The following is a 20,821-nucleotide window of genomic DNA, read 5'->3' on the forward strand; positions in this document are numbered from 1 at the left end:
TGGTTAAAAACTTCTGAGTAACTAAATATAGTTTCTGCCATTTTAATTTATGAATCAAATCAACTAATACTGAGTGCCTACCCTGTGCCAGATACCAATCTAGGTTTATAGTAGTGAGCAAAATTGATGAAGCCCTGCCCTCAGAGCAGTTATAATCCAATAAAGAGGATAATTTAAAAAGGAAATGATTTGCAATTTCCGCTGAGGATGAAGAGAAGCGGGTAGGGGAATAGACACGGAGATAGAGGGCAGCACTGCTTTAGATGGAGTTGCTAAGGAAGACTGCCGAAAAGAGACTTCAGTCTGGGAGAAGCGTGTTCCTGGGAGAGCGAACAGCATGTGCAAAGACCCTGAGGCAGGAGCAGCCTTGGAGTGATTGAGAAACAGCCAGAGAGTCAGTGTGGGTCAAATGGAGTGAGTGGGGGAAAAGTGCGAGGTTGTTTCAAGCACATTTGTTTTAATCCTGATCGGAATGATCTAGAAGAAATGAGATGCAGTGGGGAGAGAGAGAGGAGAGAGAGAGACAGAGAGAGTGAGTGTCAGGGGACAGGAGCTTCTCCATACCAACGGTAGGCAGGTATATGGGTACAGATGTTGTGAGGTTTGTAGATTATGAAGATGAGCAAGTTAAGCAAATTCACGAGGTGAGGGGAAGGGGGTGGGAGTTTGAGGAGCAAGGAGAATGTGTGAAATAACTTCCAGGAGAGTGAAAGAGTAAATATAGTGAAATATTACATCAATATAGAAAAACACAGTTCTCAGTTGTCTATGGAGGGAGAAGACTAACGGCAAGCATCTTCCTTTCTAAAGGAAGCTTCTTTCTTCTTTTTCTAATTTTAGAGACAGCGTCTTGCTTTGTTGCCCAGGCTGGAGTGTAGTGATGTGATCATGGCTCACTGCAGCCTCAAACTCCTGGGCTCAAGGGAGCCTCAGCCTCCCAAGTAGCTGGGACTACAGGTGTGCACCACCATGCCCGGCTAATTTTTTTTGTGTGTGTGTGGAGAAGGGGGTGTCACTTTGTTGCCCAGGCCGGTCTTGAACTCTTAGGCTCAAGTAATCCTCCCACCTTGGTCTCCCAAAGTGTTGAGATTATAAGTGTGAGCCACCACGCCTAGCTTAAAAATATCCTCCTTACCTGGTTGTGTCTGACTCACAGGCTGGTGGTGCCCAGCAGGGGAGATACATGTTTTCTGGCCAAGCCCAAATCTCTGGTGCCCAAATCTCTGAGGCACCCGCAGATTCAGATGCTACACCTCATACGGCTAGACAGCTATTCCCCCTCTTCCTTGTCTCTTGTCTTCCCTTCTCCAGCATCCCCTCTTGGGCTAATTCTCAGGTTCTATCTTGGCTCTACCACTTAGACCAATTGCTCCACCTCTTTGTGTCTGTTTCCCTCTCTATAAAAGGGTCTGATGCTTGTGTCTACCTTGTAGATTTGTCATGGAAATTGAGTTAATGCATATAAAGTGCAAGGGGCCACGTCTGGCACATGGATGTTTCCTTTTGTCATTACTACCATCAATGTAGCTACTTCTATGACTGCTGCAGCACTGTCTATGGCTAGTGGTGCACCCATATGTGCCAGTCGTCACTGCCTCTGAGGTTCCCAGACTGCAGTGGGCAGAAGAATCCTTTGGAGTGCTTTTATAAAATTCTGATGCCTAGCTCCCACTAGAGATGCTGATTCTAAGTCCAGAAGCGTCTGCATTTCCAGCAAGCACTCCAGTGGTTCCAATGGTGGTATGATCACACCACCTGGTGTCTACTTCATGGATGACATCTCATTTAATCTTCAAACCACTGCGTAAGATAGGCAGTATTAACCCATTATAATAAAGAGAAAATGGAGCTCAAGGGAGTCTACATAATTCAACTAACGTTCCATAGCTGTGACTGGTAGCCATCAGGATTTGAATTTCCATCTATTCTACTCCAAAATGTAGAGTAGTTAAATGAGTTAAATGGAATGAGTTGAAATGAATTCAAAGGACTCCCCCACCTAGAATTTGGAGTTTTGCAGACAATTGCTTAACTGCTTCTTTTTAAAAAGGGGTGTGTCCAACATGGCACATGTATACATATGTAACAAACCTGCATGTTGTGCACATGTACCCTAGAACTTAAAGTATAATAATAATTAAAAAAAAAGGTGTGTGTGTGTGTGTTTAAATACCTGGAACCAACTTTGAGTCCCTTGTTTTAGCTCTCTCCCAAATCCCTATCTCTAGGAACCAGGCACATTAGAGATGTCATCTTCCACCCCCTGGTGCCATGAAACCTTGTGTGTGGGAGTCGCAGAGCTGGGTGTTCACCACTCACCCCAGTATATTTAGGATACGTTCAGGAAATTCACAGAACACTTGCCCAAATCTTCAGTAACCACACCTAAATGCCTTTGTGACTCTCAAAAGGGAGAATGCTCTGAACAAGGTCTTTGCAAAGGAGCAATTCCAAGTTAGGAAGGGAGCCCAGGATGTCCTATACATCAGGCCTCCAGCTGGCTTGGGTTTGGGCACTTGAGACACCATGGCCTCCGGAACCTTAGTGAGTGATGGCTATAGGAGCAGAGGTTCGTGGAAACATGAATGTGGTAATTTGTAGTGGGGCTGTTGATGGATGAACGTTGGTTAAATGCTTATCTTGCCGGGCTTTTTGTGCCTGCCACAAGGGCGTGCATCTGAACCTCTGCCAGACAGATTTCTCTCCCCAGCTGGGTCTCTTCCCATACATCTGATAGTGGGCAGGTGTATATAGAGTCATATAATTGTCATTCCAGGGCTGTTTCACACCGTCCAAATCTAAGACAGCACCTTTTGATGTAGCTCACAAGAGCAGCTTGGCCAGGAGGAAAGTGTTCCAGGCCATAAGTAACATTATCAGGCACACACGCAGTTCCTGGCCCCAGCACGACCTAGCTGTGTGGTTTGAGATGAAGCACTTCACCTCTCTGAGCTGTTTCTTCATCTTTAAGTTTTGAATACTTTGATATAAAGTTCACAGTGTTCTGGAGATTAAGCAAAGTAAAGCACAGTGTTCCTTTGCTGGGCTCCCACACCCCAGTGCTAGCTTGCCCCAGCATCTTTTGGTAATGTGCAGTGGTTGAGTTACTTCTCTTGTCTCCCACTAACTTTCTTTAGGGACAGATCCAGCTCTTAGTGTTTGTTTGTTTGTTTTTACCACAGTATCTAACATAGTGCTCTACCCATGGTAGGTAATTTGGATAAGTTGAATAAATGAATGAATGTTCAAACAAAAACCCCCAGAAACTACGTTAGGGAGCACTGCTATAATCATCCTCTAGCTTCTTGGAGGAATATAGTATTTACATTGTGAATTCTAAAGGCTTTTTAGTTAAGAAAGATCATAAAAAATGTTAGGAACTAGGAGAGACTACTTTTTTCCATCCTTCTGAAAAAGGGTAGGTCATTCTGTGGGCTTCTGGTTTATTCTCTGGAGACTGCCAAATTTGGAGCTCAACTCTGCTTAGTTGTTTATGGGAACAGTCCTATCTCCTTTCTTCATAGCCCCTTCCATTACATTTTCTGTTTCCCATCTGAATAGGCTAATAATATAATAGCCTTGGTGCAATTCCAAGTGTGAGTCCCTTGTTCTGTTTATCTTTCAGTGTTCTCATCTCTCTGTCTAGAATGGCATTTGGTACAGAGTAGATGATCATCATAGGTTTGTTGCATGGATGGATGAATAATTGAACATGGGAGTTCTCTGTTCCTTTTCTTCTCTGACTTCTATCAGTTTTTGCCCTGCTTTATTTATTTATGGGTGTTTTTAAAATATCGGACATCAGGCACGGAGTTAGATTATGGATTAGTCATAACACTCAGTTTATGAGATATTTATATACACAAATATATATTGCATACATCTGCCCACTACCAGATGTATGGGAAGAGACCCAGCTCGGGAATGTATTATCATGACATACACACACACACACACACACACACACACACAGACATATATGCATATATATATACACATACACACATATGCACACACACATACACATATATTTGAGACAGGGTCTCACTCCATCACCCAGGCTGTAGTGCAGTGATGCAATCATGGCTCACTGCAGCCTCGACTTCCCAGGCTCAGGTAATCCTTCCACCTCAGCTTCCCAAGTAGCTGGGATGCATGCCACCATGCCCAGCTAATTTTTGTATTTTTTGTAGAGACGGGGTTTCACCATGTTGCCCAGGCTGGTCTTGAACTCCTGAGCTCAAGCAATCCTCCCACCTTGGCCTCCCAAAGTGCTAGGATTACAGGTGTGAGCTACTGTGCCTGGCCTATATATGTATTTTAAATAGTAATAAGCATTCATGAACTTGCTACCAAAACCAAACATAGAGCTTGGATAATAATTTATGTCTAAATGTATGGTCTGCCCACCCCCATTCCCTCTGTCTCTTACATTCTGGGGAAATAATCATCCCAAATCTTTTATTAATACTTTGCTTTTTTAGTATAGTTTTTATTACATCTGTACGTATTTCGAAAAAGTAGGTGCTTTTTATTTTGCTTGCTCATAACTTTATAAAAAGTATATCATGCTTTTTTCACTTAATATTATATTGCTGAGATTCATCAATATTGTTTCATCCATATTGTTTCATTGTATATATTCATTTACTCATTATTGCTTATATAGTTATTAATTGTGTGAATATACCACTGTTAGTTCATCCACCCTCCTGTGGCTGGGCAATTAGGTTATTCCCAGGATTTTGCTCTTATGAACAGTGCTGCTGTGAATAGTGTTGAATATAATACCATCAAATTTGTGCAAGAGTTTCTTTTTGGTTTATGAGTTTGAGAGTAGAATGCCGTATCATAGGAAATGTGAATTTCAACTTTAGGTGGTAATACTAAAACAGTTTCCAAAGTTTTTGTACCAATTTATACTCCTACTATGTCTTTTCTAACTCTGGTTATCATCAAACTTTAAACTTGGGTCTACTGAATACGTATAAAATAATATTGCATTGTGGTCTGCCTTGATCACTAATGATGGTGATGGTGAACATTTCTTGAAATGCTTATTATGTTTATTGTGTTTATATGTGTTTCCTCTTCTGTGAAATGCCTACTTTTGCCCGTTTTCCCATTGAACTATTTATATTTTTCTTATTGATTTGTAGGATTGTTAGGAATTTGGTATGTATTTCTGTTGAGAGTTCTTCGTTGATTTTAAGTTCTTTGATCAGTTATTGATTCTTGTGTAATAAACTACCCCCAAAACTTAGGGGCTTAAAACAACAACAGTTTTGGCCAGGTGCGGTGGCTCACACCTGTAATCCCAGCACTTTGGGAGGCCAAGGTGGGCGGATCACCTGAGGTCAGGAGTTCGAGACCAGCCTGACCAACATGGAGAAACCCCGTCTCTACTAAAAATACAAAATTAGCTGGACGTGGTGGCACATGCCTGTAATCCCAGCTACTCAGGAGGCTGAGGCAGGAGAATCACTTAAACCCTGGAGGCAGAGGTTGCAGTGAGCCAAGATCGCACCATTGCACTCCAGCCTGGGCAACAAGAGTGAAACTCCGTCTCAAAAAAAACAAAAACAAAAACAGTTTTTTCTCTCACAATTCTGTGGGTTGACTGGGTTCAGCTGGTTGATTCTTCTGCTCCATGGGTTGTCAGTTGGGGTAACTCACTTAGTTGCATTCAGCTGGTGGCTAGGATGGACTGGATGGCCTAAGAAGGCCTCGCTAACATACAAGGTAGCTTGGTGCTCTCCCATTTGTCCTCTCCAGTTGGCTATTTTGGACTTTCTCACAGAATGGTGATTCTGGGTGGTTGGACTTCTTGCCTGCTGGCTTCCAAGAGGAAGGAAGCAGAATCTTCTAGCCCTTTTAAGGCCTAAGCTTGAATGTCCCAGAATGACACATCTGCTATAACAAAGCAAACAATCAAGTCAGTCTGGATTCAAGAGCAGAGACTAGCCTCCAGGGCAAACAGCATCCACCTTTTGATGGGTGAAATGGCAGGCACAGAGAGAGAGAGAAGGAATTGATGGCAGTCATCATTGGAGACTATTTATCACTTTTGCATTGTAAATATCTTCTAGTTTTAACTTTTCACTTTTTAAAGGTGTCTTTGATGAAGCAAACTTCTTTATACATATTTTATTTATTTATTTATTTATTTTTCGTAGAGACAAGGTTTCACTATGTTGCTCAGGCTGTCACCAACTCCCTGGGCTCAAGGAAACAAAATTCTTTTTTTTTTTTTTTGAGACAGAGTCTTGCTCTGTCGCCCAGGATGGAGCGCAGTGGTGCAATTTCAGCTCACTGCAACCTTCACCTCCCAGGCTCAAGCAATTCCCGTGTCTCAGTTACAGGCATGTGCCACCATGCCCAGCTAAAGGAAGCAAAATTCTTAATTTTAACATAGTCAGATTTATCCATCTCTTCTTTTGTAGTCAACGCTTTTTGTATCTTTGGTTAAGAAACCTTTCCTTGCTCTCAGTTCTAAAAGGTAGACACCTTTTTTTCTACTATGAGAGTTTGAAGTTTTATTTTTCACATATAAGTCCTTACTTCATCTGAAGTTGAATTGCATTTGCGACTTGAGTAGAACTCTGATTTTATTATTTCCCCCTGGATCTAGAATATTCCTTCCTTTCCCAGCGGTCTGACATACCACCTATGTTATATACTAAAGCTTCTTAAATGCATGGGCTGCCTGTTCTGTCCGATAGGTCTGTTTGTCTCATTTTGCCTTTCCTTAATTACAATAGCTTCATAATAAGCCCCGATTCCTTGAAGGGCAAGTTTCCTCCTCCCGGTCTTCTTCTTCAGCAATATCTTGGTCCTTTAAAGTTTCATATAAATTTTAGAATTATCTTACTGTACTTTAAGAAAGTCCTTATTCAGGTTTTCACTGGCATAATATTGTCTCTATAGCTTAATTTGGGGAGAATTGGTAAGTTTTTGATATTATCTTCTAGCTAACTCTCCATTTATGTAGATTTTCAAAATTCTGTTAATACTGTTTAAAATTTTTATTTGTCAAATTTCTTTTGAGATACTTGATGTTCTCTGAGACTATTATAAATGGCATTTTCTCTTTAATTAAATTTTCTAGTTGTTTGCTGCTACTCTACAGAGATGCAATGACTTTTTTATTTTAATGTCACATCCAGCTACCTTGCTAAAAATCTCCCAGTATTTCTAAAATTCTCTTTAGCAGATACATTTGGGTCTTTATTTTCTTTTTTTATTTTTTATTTTTATTTTTTTCAGAGTCAAGTTCTCACCCTGTTGCCCAGGCTGGAGTGCAATTGTGTGATCATAGCTCACTATACTACAGCCTCAAGCTCCTGGGCTCAAGCAATCCATCCCAGTCTCCCAAGTAGCTGGGACTGCAAACACATACCACCACACCTGGCTAATTAAAAAAAAAAAAAAATGTTTTTCTTGCTATGTTGCCCAGGCTGGTTTCAAACTCCTGGCCTCAAGTGATCCTCCTGCCTCAGCCTCCCAAAGTGCTGGGATTACAGGTGTAAGCCACTGTGCCTGGCTTCATTTGGAGGTTTTTTCTTTTTTCTTTTTTTTTGAGACAGGGTCTTGCTCTGTTGCCCAGACTGGAGTCCAGTGGTATGATCTTGGCTCACTGCAACCTCAGCCTCCTGGACTCAAGCGATCCTCCCAACTCAGCCTCCCAAGTAGCTGGGACTACAGGCAGGCACCACCACACCCAGCTATTATTTTTGTATTTTTAGTAGAGACGGGGTTTCTCCATGTTGCCGAGGCTGCTCTCGAACTCCTGGGCTCAAGCAATCTGCCCATCTTGGCCTCCCAAAGTGTAGGGATTACAGGCGTGAGCCACTGTGCCCAGCCTCATGTGGAGTTTTAATGTAAATAATTTTATCTTTAAATAAATAATAACAGTTTTATTTCGTTTATTCCAAATGTTATACATCTGTTTTTTTCTCCTGCCTTTAAAAAAATCCTTCTTGTTCTTGTCTCTTGCCCATTTTTTACTTTCAATTCTTGTGGAAAACACCAGGTTGAGTCAGAAATAGCAGAGACTTATAAATATATAAGACCTTTTATTTTGTGTATGACCATGAAGCAGTAAAGTTGGTATAAGCGTCTGTTGGAAGATATGGCTACAGAAAAAATAAAGTGGCCTGTCCCAGTGATACTCATGGGAAGGAAAGAGCCTCCTCAATGATCTTCCATCTGAGAAGTCCCATGGATTCTTTTCTCTTCTGCTCCACAAGTTTGATTGTCTTTTCTTTCTTTCTTTCTTTTTTTCTGGTGAATTAGCCAGCCAGACTCAGTTTAGATGATCCCAATTTTGTTGGCAACATCCAAAGCATTGTAATCAGGAGCCAGTTGAACATATGCCTTCTTCTCTCCATCAGGCCTAATCAGGGTGTTGACTTTGGCCACATCAATGTCATAGAGCTTCTTCACAGCCTGTTTGATTTGGTGTTTGTTGGCTTTAACATCCACAACGAACACAAGTGTGTTGCTGTCTTCTATCTTCTTCATGGCGGACTCAGTGGTCAGCAGAAACTTGATGATAGCATAGTGGTCAAGCTTGTTCTCCTGGGGGCGCTCTGCCGAGGATATTTGGGCTGCCTCTGGAGTCGCCGTGTCGTGGGCCGCCGGAAGGTGGGTGACGTGCAGATCTTTTTTTGTGTGGCTGTGGACACCTTTAAACACTGCCTTCTTGGCCTTCAAAACCTTCGTTTTGGCTTCAGCTTTAGGAGGGACAGGAGCTTCCTTCTTCGCCTTCGGCGCCATCTTGTGAAAAGACCGCAAGTTTGATTTTCAAAAGTATTGTCAGGTATTGCCCTTTTAAAAAGCCCCACGAGGTTATCTTCTCTCAAAACCTTGTTGCTTGGTGCCAAGGCTTTACTTGCAGGATTAGTCATAACCTTGGCCTCCCTGAGAAAGTTCTTCAACCGCAAGTCTACTTATCTAGGTAGCATGTCCACGTCGACTTAATTCTCCATGAAGAGCTCAAGAAAAATGATTAAGAAGGCTGCAAAGAGTTTTAACACTTAAGAAAGTCATTCTTCTGATTTTTTTTTTCACTTCTAGATCCACAGTCTGATTTCCTTTAGGGCACTACTAAATTCTTTTTGATTCTTCATATAGGTTGATTTGCAGTAAATATGACATTGAGATGTAAGGTAAAAATTACTGAAAGTTCAGGAGTAAAACAAATGAAAGAAAGGACAAGGAATACTTTAATAAAACGATTTGAATAAAAAATTTTCACCCTGACCGTTTAAGAGTAACTTAAAGAAGCCAAACTTTCTAATTATTAATTTTTAAATACATTATTAAATTTTTAGAATAAATTTTTCTTTCTTTTTAAAGTCAATGTTTACACTGATCTTTTTATTTTTCAAACAGAAAGTGTATGTTACACTTTTGCTTGTTAATGTTTAACTTAAGCTTGTGGACTCTTTGTTAGAAATTATTTTATATGGCAAAAAATTTATCACCTAAACTTGGCTAATACAAAGTTAATCCAGAAAAACCATCATCTAGGGCATTACTGGTTTGACAAGTTGTTTTTGTAGATTCTTTGCTGTCTGTCAAGGTTTTTTCCAATAGTCCTTAGAAATAAACAGAAAGTTTGACTCATTTTTATTACCTGGGCAAAGCTCGCTCCTTGGAATTCACCTTTAACTTATGTATCTATTATATCAGTCAGACTTCCAAATGTCAGTGTTGACACCTGTGATGCTGTCTTGCCTATACACTTATTTTTTAAATATGTGCTTTCAAATTATTTATTGCTCAGACTTGAAATATATATTTGATATATATAGTTTTTAGTGCCTACTAATTGTGAGATCAAGGGCTAACGTGAGTGCTAAAGCTCCTGAGCCTGTGTTCTTACCTAGTCTGCTGAATGACATGGACAGGAGCTGCAGAGGGACTGCTATATCAGCAGAAAGGCTAAGATGATTCTAAATGAAAGAGACCTTCAGGCTACTGTGAAGGCTACCATTTAAAACAAATTACAGGAAATAACGTATGTTAGTGATTATGCATGGATGTATAATAAACCAGAGTTGTAGCTGTTAGAGAGTTACAGGGTAGTGTTAACTTGTTATCCCTGGACTCTGGACTTAGGTCCTGATTCTACCATTGACCAGTGGTGTGGTTCTTGGGAAAATTACTTAACATTCCACTCTCTTTCCTCATCTGTAAAATAGAGGTGATAATAATAATCTTAGTATGAAAATATAAACTGGGTGGTGCCCAGTGCATAATAGGTGCTCTACAAATCTTCATCTTAATTATTATTATTACTTTGAAATTGAGAATCACTCTAACAACCTAGAAAGCACCTTCTGCATTCCTCACATCAATAATGTGGAGATGGAGATAAATGTAAATCATAAGCATTCCCATTTTGGGGAGAGATTTTGCTTCTAGCCAGATGTAAATCTTCTAAACTTTGAGGAATAATAATTAAATTCCCTCATCAAATAACTAAATGTTCTGGTAAAATGTTCTCTAGGGAGAAATAAAGATCATAGAAGGGAAAATACTGATAGTAAGTGTTTAGATGTCCTAGCTTAAAAGTTATTCATAGCTGGGTGCGGTGGCTAATGCCTGTAATCCCAGCACTTTGGGAGGCCGAGGCAGGCGGATCACCTGAGGTCAGGAGTTCAAGACCAGACTGACCAACATGGAGAAACCCCGTCTCTAATAAAAGTACAAAATTAGCCGGGCGTGGTGGTGCATGCCTGTAATCCCAGCTACTCGGGAGGCTGAGGCAGGAGAATCGCTTGAACCTGGGGGCGGAGGTTGCGGTGAGCTGAGATCATGCCATTGCACTCCAGCCTGGGCAACAAGAGTAAAACTCCGTCTCAAAAAAAAAAAAAAAAAAGTTATTCATTAAGCACCATATTATGACAATGCATTTTATAGAAAGAATCAACATTTTTGAGAAATGGCTGATGGAATTATTCCTTGGTTGAGTTTCTAGGGGGTGCAAGGCAGTGTGTTGGGTTGAAGTGATAGAGGGAAGAGCAGGAAACATATGGCCTCCGACCTCAGGAAGTGGCGGGGCCACATACACCCAAGGCACTGCTTCTGAGTTATAGAACCATTTTTGTATAATGTCGAAAGATAAAGATCTACACAGATACCTCACCATGCATGAAAGAACCATGAGTTGCATACTAGATGAAAACATGTGGTCACACCTTTGGTTACATACCAGGATCAAATTTCTCTCTGAACACTTAAGAATTAACTTCTAAGATGCTGGCTAGGGGCAGAGCTACCTCTTTGTCACAGCACATTCCTTGGGAGGCTGTGGGTATAAGTTTGCCTCTTTGTCCCCCTCCTATGTGATGGTTATACCCTAAGAGCATTTAGTTTGGGAGCAGATAGTTCAGTATGTGAAGTCCATCCCTGGGAAGCATGATCCTCTGACCCACTTAAAATACATTCGACATAGAAGAAAGGCCTATGTTCAGGTTTTAGATAGTAAATGGCTGCAAAACTATGCAAAAACCAAACCAAAACAAAAACCAGAATCAAAAGAATCTGCCTAGTAAGAAAGAGTAATTCAATAAGAAGTTAGAGATTATAATACCAAACAGATTATCACCACAGGTAAAAATGGATCCCCATTTACTTACTGAATTAATACTGACTTCTCAGTGCTGGTATTCACAGCCAGCCACATCTCTCCATGTACCTGGCAAGCCTTGTCTCTCAATGCTTGCCCTCAAAGGTGAAACAAGACCAGCCGGCCCCTGTGCCCTTGCTCGTGCTGGTTCCTCTACCTGGAATGCTTTCCCTGTTTGTGCTCACTGCCACTTACCAAAGTCCTATCCGTCCTCCCAGGCACTGGACATGCCTTCTCTTTCACCATGGAATATCTACCGCCATTGGCCACAGCCATCTACTCCATGGAGGCACTTGCTGTACACCCCTTCCCTGATGGTTGTTTGGATCCTTGATGCACCACTGGGACTGTGGGGAGGGATCTTTTTTGTACCCCAGTGCCGCACACAGAATTGCACAGAGGATGACTTAATGAGTGAAGTGGATTTGTTGAAGTGAAAACCTCTTTTCATCCCAAATACAACAGGCTCTTCTTGAAGTGTTGTATGAAACAAAAACATAGCTGTAAAGATGGAAGATAAATAGACCCCATATCCTAAAAACACCATAATCAGAGGCATAAATCGGTGATAAGGTTTAAGATAAATGAAAAAGAGAAAGCCTTACTACTGTTTCAGAATACATTCCAGTGAATTTTAACAGCTGACTTCTCTAAGCTGTATAAGATAGTCTTTGTTTGGTTCCCTGTATTTGCTATATGGATAAGAAAAAATTACTTGAAAGTAAAAAAATAAAAAACAAAAAACAAAAAAAACCCACTTTTTTTTTTTCAGGGCCAGTTCTGTGACTATTGCAATTCTGAAGACCCCAGGAAAGCACATCCTGTCACCAATGCCATCGATGGATCTGAACGTTGGTGGCAAAGCCCTCCCCTGTCCTCAGGCACACAGTACAACAGAGTCAACCTCACCTTGGATCTGGGGCAGGTGAGCTACACTTTTAACTGGAATGGGAACATGAGCTTAGATCACTGTTTCTATGGGGATTTCTGATATAATAATTATTGTAAAAAAAAAACAAACTTCAGTTTTAATCCCCTCATCATTGTTAAACCTGTTACATTAACATTTGCTTCCCTTAAACCCAGAATAGGCCAGGCACAGTGGCTCATGCCTGTAATCCCAGCACTTTGGGACGCCGAGGTGGGTGGATCACTTGAAGTCAGGAGTTTGAGACCAGCCTGATCAACATGGTGAAACCCCATCTCTACTACAAATACAAAAATTAGCCGGGTGTGGTGGCGGATGCGTGTAATCCCAGCTACTTGGGAGGCTGAGGCAGGAGAATTGCTTGAACCTGGGAGGTGGAGGTTGCAGTGAGCCAAGATCGCGCCACTGCACTCCAGCCTGGGCAACAGAGAGAGACTCCATCTCAAAACGAAAACAAAAACAAAGCCCGGAACAGTGCCTGGCAGCATGCAGATAGATGCCCATCCCTGTCTATTAAATGAGATTAAAAAATAATTGTAAATAGTTTCATTGGCAAAGATATTTTTATTATTATTTTTAATTGTGGTAAAAGAGACACAACATAAAATTTGTCATCCTAACCATTTTTAAGTATATGGTTCAGTGGCATTATGTACATTGGCATCATTGTGCAACCATCGCCGTCATCCATCTCTAGAACCCTTTTCATCTTGCAAAACTGAAACTCTGTTCCCATTAAACAGCAACTCCCCATTCCCCTTTCTCCTGCCGCTCGCAGCCAACATTCTACTTCTCTTACTGTGAATTGACAACTCTAGGAAGCTCATATAAGTGGAATCATATAGTATTTGTCTTTTTGTGACTGGCTTCTTTAACTTGGCATGATTTTTTAAGGTCTTGAAAACATCAGGGAAAGTGAAAGAAGCTGGAAATAAAAGACTATCTTATATGATTCCATTTATATGGAATGTCCTGATAGGCAAATCTATAGAGAGAAAAGTAGCTTAGTGGTTGTCTAGGGCTAGGGGTTTTGGAGGAAATTGGGGCGTGACTAATAATAGGTATGTTTTTGGAGAGAGGGTGATGAAAATGTTCTAAAATTGATGATGATGATGGTTGGACAACTCTGTGAATATGCCGAAGACCATTGGCATGTACACTTTAGATGGGTGAACAGTATGGTATGTGAATTGTATCTCAATAAAACTGTTAAAAAAAAAAGGATTCATGGAAAGAGAGTGTTTCAAGAAAAAAAAAAAGGAGGGAGAAAATAACTGTGTCAAATGCCATTGATAAGCCAAATAGCAAAACACTGATAACTGAGCAGCAAATGACCATTGGATTTGCCAGTGTGGAGATCACTGGTGACTTTGATAAGAGAGCATTGAAAAGTTAACTGTAGGGAAATTAAGAGAGAATGTGAGAGGAATTGAAGTACCTAATACAGAAATCAATTTTAAGAGTTCTGCTCAATGGGGCAAAAAGAAATGGAGGAGAATCATTGAAAAGCCAGGTAAAGAGATTTCTTTGTTTATGATAGAGATAGCAACATGCTTGTGTGCTTGTGTGCAGATGGTAACGTAAACAGCAGGAAGAAGACTGTAGCTATTATTAGAACATTTTCATAACTGAGTTTGTTATGTTGATACTAATACTAAAACTAATGCTAATACTAATATTAATGTTTATACTATTCTTTTTGCTGGGAACAGTTAAGCATAGAGTACAGTTCATATAAAAAATACTACTTGAAAGAAAGAAAAAGGTAAATGCATCCCATAGCATAGAAATGGAATGATACTGAGATTTCTTAGAATGAATGTGTTCTTTTCATTTCGATTGGGCAGTTTTGTGACAGAAGGGCTTTCAACCTCTTTAGTCCATGTGTTGTGCTAAATTAGACCTCTCCTGAGAATATTTTCACCATTAATTTGTGTCTGCAGGAATTCACAGAGAGCCTTCATGGTTCAAAAGACTCTAATAAGCCTCCTTTCAACTATAAGTTAGTCTTATCCCTCTGATACCTAACCACTAGCATTCATTCAGTAGCTTCTGACAATACTAACCAAGAATTACCTACCATATCGATTTTTTTTTTTTTAGACAGGGTCTCACTCTATTGCTCAGGCTGAAGTGCAGTGGTGCAATCTCGGCTTACTGCAACCTCTGCCTCCCACGCTCAAGTGATTCTGGTGCGTCAGCCTCCCAAGTAGCTGGGACTACAGGCATGTGCCACCATGCCTGGCTAACTTTTTGTATTTTAAGTAGAGACAGGGTTTCACCATGTTGCCCAGGCTGGTCTTGAATTACTGAGCTCAGGCAATCCGCCCACCTAGGCCTCCCAAAGTACTAAGATTACAGGCGTAAGCCACCGTGACTGGCCTATATCGCTTATTTAACTGAGGGTTTTTATAGGTAACAGGGAATTTTAATCCTTCAAAATGACCCATACTGAACTTACCCATGTCTGCTGGCTTGTTCTTTTTTCTTTAGAACTTTTTTTTTAAACCTACTTTAAAAGCCTCCTTTTGATGTACTGAAAAATTCCCTAATTAAGACAATTAAGAAAACATCAACATAGGAACAGTTCAGTACTTTGCTGGTTGCTGACAAACGTGAGTCATGGCATGCATATGCATAAGGCCTGTGTCCACCCACCCGCTCTGCTCTGCGAGGCTGCTGAGAATGTGGGTTCTGGAGTCAGCCTGGCCAGTTTGTCCTGATTGCTCTGCTCACTTGCTGTGTGGCCTTAACAAATATATTTTTCTGCTCCCTGCCTCAGTTTCCTCATTTATAAAATGAGATAATTGTGCATCCCTCATAAGATTATTATGAGTTCTAAATGAGTTAATTGCTTCATTTAAAACTTCTTTAGAGCAGTCGTATTTTTTATTTAATAAAATAAAGTGAACTTTAATAAACTCTCATTAAAAAGAACAGACTGATCACATTTGTGCCTCTAGAAAACACTACCTATAATACTGTAGAAAATATTCTAAGAAAGTCTAGGAGCAGGAAAAGCATGATCAGTTATGTCAGACTGAAGACATTTCTTTCCTCTTCTGTGTTGGAGCATGACATGTTTTAACAAGCATGTTGTGTCTTGTAAGATTCCTATTTTTTGCCCCATTGGTAAGATCTGTGTTTTCTTCCTTTTGCTGGAATTAACCATGAGAATGTCACTGAGAGGTTAGATTTCATAATTAATAGTAACATTAAGACCTTAGAGGGAGAGAAGTGGGAATTTTGAGGCATGGTTGAGAAATAAAATGCAGATCATAAATTTGTTACTACAAAATCACTTCACCTGCTAAGAACTGAAATTTGATTTTGATGTGCTGTTGTCAATTTGACAGCTTATGCTGTTGTGAGGGTCTTGTTTTCTTTTAGACTAGTTGGTGTTTTTCATTGTTATTTTTTTGGCCAATAAGTTTGACAAATAAAAACATTACCTTCTGGACTTGATCTTTTTTTTTTTTTTTTTTTTTTTTTTTTGAGACAGAGTCTCACTCTGTCACCCAAGCTGGAGTGCAGTGGCGTGATATCAGCTCACTGCAACCTCCGTCTCCCAGGTTCAAGTGATTGCCTTACCTCAGCCTCCCAAATAGCTGGGATTACAGGTGCCCACCACCATGCCTGGCTAAATTTTTTTTTTTTTTTTTTTTTTTTTTTTTTAGTAGAGACAGGGTTTCACCATGTTGGCCAGGCTGGTCTCGAACTCCTGACCTTGTGATCCACCCATCTCGGCCTCCCAAAGTGCTGGGATTACAGGCATGAGTCACCGTGCCTGGTCCACAGACTTGATCTTAAAGGACAGTTTCCCCTTAAAACGTGGTAAATGTAGGACAGTTCTGTGATTCACTAGAGGCATCATACTTTCCGGGGTTGTTCAAGTTCATTTAATTATACATTATGCAGTAGTTTCAGGCTATAGAATGAGAACACGATGTCTTTCAGGAAGCTTTTGTATCATCTGGCCAGATATAATGAGTTCATTTTTACATTTAAAGCATGTAGATGTCCAGTTTTTAAAAGGAGAATCTTTGGAATCTAGGAAGCTTTGTTCTGCCTGGATTCCTGGTAGGGCATGGGCTTTGGAGATCTCTCCCGTGAGATCGGAAGGTGTAGTGGTGGGATCTACATATACACTCTGGACTTCCTCCAGAATCCAAACTCCAGAGTTCTATTCTATGGGCTCCCTATGTTCACCTTCCAGCTCCCTCCCCAGGGTGAGGTATAGAGAAAAACATGAGGAGGTGGGTGCGGAGGGAGTTCCTATGGTCCATGACTTCAGCCCCCGCAGAGCAAGCCTGACTCATTGTGTTCCAGGGAACAACAACAAAATTATCTGAAGAATTTTGAGGCTTGTATGCAATGTGTAATGTTTCCAAGAGTATTATTTTGTTATTTAAACCTGTTAGTAGTAAAAATAAACAAAGACAATCCCTCACCCCCAACATCAAGCCCTGAAAAGGACTGAGTGTTGGCTTCAGAGGATGGAGGTGTGAGGAGAGAAGGTGACGTTGCCCCTGCTCTGCAGGGCTGCGGGGGAGTGAGGCCTGGAGACAGCAGATGTGGCTGCAGGAGCAGAGCTGCTGAGATGGTCCTTTGGGCCTCGTAGAGGCAAAGGCTGTGATGTCCACAGCTCCCTGGTCCCCCTCTGAGTGGCAGCTGGGATGGATAGTTCCCACACCTGTTCCCTTGTCCCATCTCAAGGGCCTGCATCTGACTTTGCTTCCTGCCTGAAGGCTCTTTCTAGATTTACAGAGGCTTCTAAAAGCTGTGTCTAGAGCAGCCTGCAAGCCCAGCACTTAATGCCCCAAGGGGCAATCCTCATCCCAAGAGGGATGATAGTTGGTGGGAAAATACCGCATTTCCCTGCCTCTCAATGGGCCAGTTCTAAAGTGCCTTCTACATAATTCCTCAGAGTGTCCCTGGTAGGATGGAGCCGTGGTTGGGTTGCTCTGGTGGCAGCCTACTCATTAACACATTGATTTTTGGCTTTTCTCCCTCCCTTATGTTCCTCTCTTCCCAGTTTGTGCTTCTTGAGGTCAACTCTTAAATAAACTACCTCTACTCAAGTCTTTGCCTCAGGGCTTTAGAGAGGGCCCAAACTAAGACAGAAGAAAGAGAGTCCAGATGGACATAGTGGTTCATACCTGCAGCCCCAACCACTCAGGAGGCAGAGGCACGAGGATCACTTGAGCACAGGAGTTAAATCCAGCCTGGGCAACTCAGTGAGACCCCATCTCTAAATAAATAAATAAACAAATAAGGAAAGGAAGCCTAGATTGAGACCCTGAAACCCCCTGCAGGTGTTAACACAGGCAAATACTATGAAAATGTTATTTAAAATGCAAAAAATAGAAAATTCAGAAATTGTTTCTAAAGCTCCAAGGTTAAATGTAATAGGGGAAACTGCATTATAAATTTTAAGGAAAAATATTAATAGGTCACAGGAGAAATGCCCCATTACTCTACCTTTCTAATTTTTCATGAATTCATCACAGACAGTGAACTCCCCAGGAGCCAGATGCAAATACAGGATCCAATCATCTGAGAGTGAATTCAGTATGTAGTTGCATTCTAGAATCTTTTTTTTTTTTTTTTTCCTGATTCCCTTCAACTTTTATGAGACTTTGGTGGGTGAATCCAAAACATTCTTTGTAGCTGACTCAGATGTGGAGGGAAGCCTGGGCTAGTTTCTGATACTTTTGGGGCTTGAGGACTTTGGAGATTAACTTGGCTCTACAGATGGTTGGCTGATGAGGTCACTAAGGAGGGTGACTCAGCTGGTTCCCCGGGTGGACACAGCCCAATCCAGAAGGTGGATGGCTCTTGGTTTTGACCCAGTCTTTCTGGATTCCTGAGGAATTGTGTAGACTATAAGCTTCAGGAGGCCAGGGACTATGTCTTGTTTTGTTCACTGTGTTCTGTTCACTACATGATGTTTTGCTTCCAACATCTTGCACAGTGTTTAGCATACAATAGTTGTTTAATAAATATTTGCTGAGTTAATGTAGAATGAACCAAGGATGACTCAGCATCAGCCTGAACTTTCCCAGGGTATAGTAGTAATGGAAACATATTGCTGTGAGACCAAATCTCTGGGTGAGGGTGGAAGAGTTTTAGCTCTGTAATTAATTACGGTTCGTTCCATTTATGACACTTGAGTCTCTCTGCAACATTTTAAGAGTATTTTATAGCTATAACAAAATTAGAAAATACAGAAGATTATATTTAGAACAATTTTGCTATTAATAAATGGTGTTTTTTTGTTTTTGTTTTTGTTTTTTTTGAGATGGAGTCTCACTCTGTCACCAGGCTGGAGTGCAGTGGCGCAATCTCGGCTGACTGCAACCTCTGCCTCCCAGGTTCAAGTGATTCTCCTGCCTCAGCCTCCCGAGTAGCTGGGACTACAGGCACGGACCACCACACCCAGCTAATTTTTTTGTATTTTTAGTGTGATGGGGTTTCACCATGTTGATCAGGATGATCTTGATTTCTTGACCTCGTGATCCACCCACCTCAGCCTCCCAAAGTGCTGGGTTTACAGGCATGAGCCAATAAATGTGTTATTAATGAACATCATCATGAGGCACAGCCCTTGAAGTCAAACAATTCATTAGTGGGTAGAAAAACAGGTGCCAATAAAATCCTCTGGGCTACTAGGGATAGAATATTATCCTTTATGGTCCTTTAGTAACTTCAAAGTGTTAATTTGGGGTGCTTTGAAGTAATTTATACATTAGGAAGAATCTGGAAATCAGGTGTTTTCTTTTAATACATGAAAAACTCATTCTGGGTGCAGTGTCTCATGTCTATAATCTCAGCACTTTGGGAGGCCAAGGTGGGAGGATTGCTTGAGGCCAGGAGTTCAAGATCAGCCTGGGCAACACTGTGAAAGCCCCTCTCTATAAAAAAATAAAATAATTAGCCAGGCATGGTGGCACACACTTGTAGTCCTAGCAACTCAGGAGGCTAAGGTGGGAGGACTGCTTGAGCCCAGGAGTTGGAGGCTGTAGTGAGCTATGATAGCACCAGTGAACTCCAGCCTGGGTGACAGAGTAAGACCCTGCCTCTATTAAAAAAAAAAGTCTCTCTCTCTTTCTCTGTATATATGTATATATACACACATTCAATTGGTTCTGTTTCTCTGGAGAACGCTGATTAATACTGTGGCTAAATACAATGAAGGTATATTTCTCATCATGTCCAAACACAGCTGATCCTGGTTAAGCAGTTCCCCTCCAAACAGTGGTTCAAAGACGTAAACTCCTTCCATAATTGGGTCTGCCATTTTCAACACATGGGTTCCCAATGTTGCCCCGTGGGTCATCTTTATTCTAACCAGCCCGAATGAGGAAAGAGCATGGAAGATTCTGTGTGGGAGGTTTGTGTGGGCAAGACTAGAAGTGGCACATCAGCTCAGTAGCTTCATATTGGCCATGGTGGGAGCATTTACACTATGGAAATCAGCAAATGTTACAAATCAGGGCTGCTCCTTTCCAAGAGCCAGTTTACCCAATATCTCTCTCGGTCTCTTCCATATCCCTCCACTTCCCTCTCCCTCCCCACTTACCATTTAGTAAACTCATTATGTCTTGTGCCGTATTATCTCTGGAGTCTGGCTCCTCCTCCCCCTTGATACTGCACTATTGTAGTGGAACCCATGGCAGCTCTCCCCATGATTAGTCCACCAGTCTTCTAACTGATTTCCCAGCATCTACTCTCAGCTTACCCTGTTTTAGAATCAGCCTGAAAGGAACAGAATCCATAGTGGTGAGCTGAGAAAGATTAGAAACAATCAGGTTGGCAGTCTTCCAAGGGTCTACCTATCAATCAATCTTCTCATTACTACCAGCGCAAAACAAAGATCTCAGTGTGTTGTTCTCCCTGATTAGTATCCTTTAGTGGTTTTCTATTACTTTTGGAATAAGGTCCAAGTTTCTTAACATGTCACATACGCTCCTTCAGTCTAGCCCTTAGACTTTTTGCCAGCCTCATCTTAAAAGGCACTTTCTCCTGCAAGACCTATGCTATGTCAGTAGAGACCTAACTGTAATTCCCTGGATATTCCATGATGTTCCCTGGTTCTGGGCCTTATTTTGGTGCTATTCACAGTTCTTGGAATTCCTTCCCACCTTGCCTGGTCTGGCTATCTTCTTTCTGAGATAACTCAAATATTGCCTGCTGGAAACCCTTCCTGGCTGCCTGCTTCCCTCTGAGCTGTTTCTGTTTACTCAGAGGCACTT

At 41.3% G+C, this 20,821-nt stretch overlaps 1 protein-coding gene and 1 pseudogene across 13 annotated transcripts in view, besides 2 other annotated features; one reads left to right on the forward strand and one right to left on the reverse strand.

Annotated features, from left to right (window-relative positions):
• LAMA3 (laminin subunit alpha 3) overlaps positions 1 to 20,821 on the forward strand; it is a 265,614-nt gene that overhangs the window by 12,057 nt on the left and 232,736 nt on the right. For all 13 annotated transcript variants that reach the window (NR_130106.2, XM_011525978.3, XM_011525982.3 and 10 more), the window contains exon 2: positions 12,411 to 12,563. Coding sequence is in view for 12 of the 13 variants with exons in the window: in XM_011525978.3 (XP_011524280.1) it covers positions 12,411 to 12,563 (153 nt within the window). In the remaining variant the exon portion in view is untranslated. The remainder of the gene's footprint in view (positions 1 to 12,410; positions 12,564 to 20,821) is intronic.
• Positions 8,289 to 8,789, reverse strand: RPL23AP77 (ribosomal protein L23a pseudogene 77; annotated as a pseudogene).
• Positions 18,459 to 18,959: an enhancer, noted in NCBI's record as "H3K27ac hESC enhancer chr18:21299932-21300432 (GRCh37/hg19 assembly coordinates)". NCBI's record gives its function as "activates a minimal SCP1, AML or CMV promoter by ChIP-STARR-seq in naive H9 embryonic stem cells {active_cell/tissue: H9 hESC(naive)}" and the evidence as "EXISTENCE:reporter gene assay evidence [ECO:0000049][PMID:30033119]".
• Positions 18,960 to 19,460: an enhancer, noted in NCBI's record as "H3K27ac hESC enhancer chr18:21300433-21300933 (GRCh37/hg19 assembly coordinates)". NCBI's record gives its function as "activates a minimal SCP1, AML or CMV promoter by ChIP-STARR-seq in naive H9 embryonic stem cells {active_cell/tissue: H9 hESC(naive)}" and the evidence as "EXISTENCE:reporter gene assay evidence [ECO:0000049][PMID:30033119]".

This window comes from Homo sapiens, chromosome 18, assembly GCF_000001405.40.
Source record: "Homo sapiens chromosome 18, GRCh38.p14 Primary Assembly".
In the NCBI taxonomy this organism is placed as follows: Eukaryota; Metazoa; Chordata; class Mammalia; order Primates; family Hominidae; genus Homo; species Homo sapiens.